Genomic DNA, 3,504 nt, shown 5'->3' with positions numbered 1-3,504 from the left:
AAACCATAGCTTCAGGTAGATTTTCTTGCAGCTTTTGCGTGAGTCCACTCATTGTTTTTGACATTATTCTCATTTGGATTTCTGGATTTGGATTGTATCGGTGTTTTGTTCTCTTTTCTTTCCAGACTTCCTCATTAAATTTTTTCTAACCATTTATCTGCCCCTTTCTCTTTCAGCCCCCAATTCCTATCTTCCTGACATGCATTCAGACTCATCTATTTCTTCTCCTTTTCCTTTGGGCCGTCTAATACCATATTTTAATGCCTGTGACTGTAAGTATCATTCTCTTGAATAGCAGAGTTTACCTTCTCATACAGAAGTTGTTTTTGAAAGGGACTTCTGTAAAAGCATCATAATGTCTTTGAAACTTACGCTGTCTTGAGCTCCTGCTTAGTTAAAGGCAGGCCCTAAAGACAGAGTGAGGAGATAACACAATGTTTATTCTAGACCGCAGAGAAAGTCTGTTGAGCAACTTCCTCCTGGCTGGTCTTCTTCCTTCCAACTCCCCTGAACCCTACCTTGCTTACCACTCCTTCCCCATCCACTGGTTGGGGAGAGCTATCTTAAGCTCTAAACTACACATGGGATCACTTAAGGTCGCCACTGTGAAGCTCTTATGTACTAGTGAGGCTTATTGTCTGCAGCCTCTCTACATGTGTAATACGTTGGGTAAAATAGATTTTACTATCTCCTGGCTCTTCCCTTCAGCTAGAGTTCATCTTCTCAGAACTCCTGTCTCACTTTACTTATATTTCTATTATTTAACACATTCTGCCTTGTATCTTTCGTATGACTTTCTCCCTACTTACTTATAGTTTTGATAAAGACCAAGAGCATCTCTTCTTTTGATCTCCAAAGAATTTTGTAAAAGATGGTCGTTCAATAAATACTTTTCAACTGAGCTAAATGTTATTTCAGACAAGGTCAGATATGTTACCCTGACTGGTAGACGCGCCAAGAACAGATTAATTAGTATTGTAAAATCAAGGTAAATATTTACAAGCAGAGAAGTCCAGGAAGGTGAGGTTTGAGGGAGTACCAGGGCTGCACGTAAATAACAGAACCGGAGCCTGCTCGCAGACTGGTACAGTGACCTTTTCTTTTTGAGCACAAGGTGGCAGGCTAGGTCAATTTCCATCGTCTCTTATAAGGCAGCTACGTGAGGCTGAAGTTTTTTGCCCAATTTCAGAAACAGATATCTATTTTTTTTTTAACTGAGATTAGCGCAGCCTGATGGCTAAAACATGGTTTTGGATAAGGCATGGGCCTCACTCTTGACTACTGACTGTCCTTGTGGATCTCTGGTCCTTTGTGTTTGGACTAATTCCTCCACGTCTGCATCAAATAGCAATGCATTGTGGATGCCAACACACTTCTAGTTTCTGTTAACTGGATGAAAAAAATATGAACATTGTCAGTGTTTTGAAGAAATATCCATGAACACTGAAGCTTAGAGAGAGGAAACAAAATCGGACCAGAGAATTGAAATACGCAGTTTCTCCACTAGATAGCAGACTACGACAGGTGACTTTTGGAAGGGTCCATCTGTATTTACCCAAAGAAAGCATCCGTTTTTCTCCATCAGTTCATATTTTTCTTTTACCACGACAAGTGTTTTTATGTGATCAGACCATTCGCATGTAAAGCTCTGATATAAACCTGAAATATAAGTAGCAGTTTGATTTCAATTTATTAATCTGCAATTTAAATTCTGATAGAGTTTTTTTTTTACTTCATTAATTGCCTCCAGTTTTTTTTCCCCCAAATTGTCTTTTATTTTTTAAAAAGCAAATTACTAGGAATAGTTTATTCTGGAATTCTGATGGTAACATTGGGTGATATGTTCAGTCTTTCCCTTGATTCTGACCTGTTATTTCCAGAAGATAGGGAACAAATGAGGGAAAAAAAGATTCCTTGTTTTTAGATTCTACTTTGTATTCTTTCAAGTTTCTCTCTCTCTCTCTGTGTGTGTGCACTCATGAACACACATATACTCACACATATTCATATTATGTGGATGAATATACACACGATCTATGTACACGTGTGTATACATATATGTCTATATATACACACAGTCATATATGTATGTGTATATTATGTACATTTATCTTTGCAATATATGGCAGTTTAGTGATTGTTTAAGAGTAAAGACTCTGGAACCAGACTCCTTGGGTATAAATCCTAGCTAACTAGCAAATACTTACAGATCTGTGTCTGTTTCTTCATCTGTAAAATGGGGGTAATAATGGTACCCGTATTATAGAGTAGCTGTATAGATAAAAGGACTTCACAGAGCATGGCTCATGGTAACTAAGCAAATCATGTTAGCCATTACTATTTGTGTATGTTGAGAGTCTGATTTATTCAATAGCTTATATTGCCACTTTCATTTAGTAAATGAAGCACCCTCTATCTACCCAATGTGGGAGTTTAGATTTTTTGAAGGTGCCATAACATATTGACATTGACTTGACTTTGCTACATACATTATTCAACTTAATAATCTAGGTGCTGTCCGGAATGTCTCAGTCATGATTTCTGTTGTTTGGGAACTTACGTGTTAAAGAGAAAATGTGTGCACTTTTCTTTCTCTATTCTCTACCTCTTTCTTTTCTTCTCTTGACCTTCCTCATTTGGAGGAATGTCAAGAATGGAGAGGTATATCAATTACAAATTCAATTCACCTACCAATAACAGCAGCAACAAAAATTCCAAATAGTCGCTTAAAAAGAGCATTCTTTTTCTCATAGGACAAAGATTCTGGAGGCAGGAAGCTGATGATGGAGCTGGTTCAGTGGCTCCTCTAGGATTATTTTGTCCTTTCCTTCATAGCCACAACATGACTGCTCCTCCAGGCATCAGGTTCATGTCAAGCCAAGAAAAGGGCAAGAAAGGAGAAAGGGTGGTATACCGGCTATATAAATTCTTCTTATCAGGAGGGGCAAAAACTTTCCAGAGCTCTTCCCCCTTCCCTAACCGAGACTTAGGGCTAGTTTCCAGAACAGTGTCACAAAGCCAAAAAACCTCTACACTGAAAGACAAGAGAAAGAAATATTCTGGAAATGACTTGGGATCAGCCAGTGAATGATATTTCTCAAATTAAGTTTTTGTCTTGGCTTTGCATTTGTGTTTCTCCTCAAATTCTCCCTCTTGCCCTCCCTCTACCCTACAGTCCTCTTTGTCTGGAAGGAGGTAGAACCAAGAAAAATGATAACATGGAGATTTGTTTCAGGAGCTAATATTTGTCGTAGAATATGTGCAACATGTGCAACAGAGGAAAGAGTGGAAGAAGGTAGGAAGTAGGATCTCTATCAGCACAGAGGGAAGTCAGAGGGGAAAGGAAAGGCTGGCTCAAGCAGAGAGGGTGGAGGAGCACAGCTGAGATTTCCCCAGTGGATCAATTTCATAGGCACTCCCTGTGCTGGAGGCAGAACTAAGCTTCTTGCCTCTGAAATGAAGCACCACAGACAACAGAGTTTCTTATAGATTACTTAATACAAA

This window comes from Homo sapiens, chromosome 4 (genome assembly GCF_000001405.40).
Source record: "Homo sapiens chromosome 4, GRCh38.p14 Primary Assembly".
Taxonomy (NCBI): domain Eukaryota; kingdom Metazoa; phylum Chordata; class Mammalia; order Primates; family Hominidae; genus Homo; species Homo sapiens.
The sequence above is the reverse complement of the archived record's forward strand: the minus strand, read 5'-3'. Positions refer to the sequence as shown.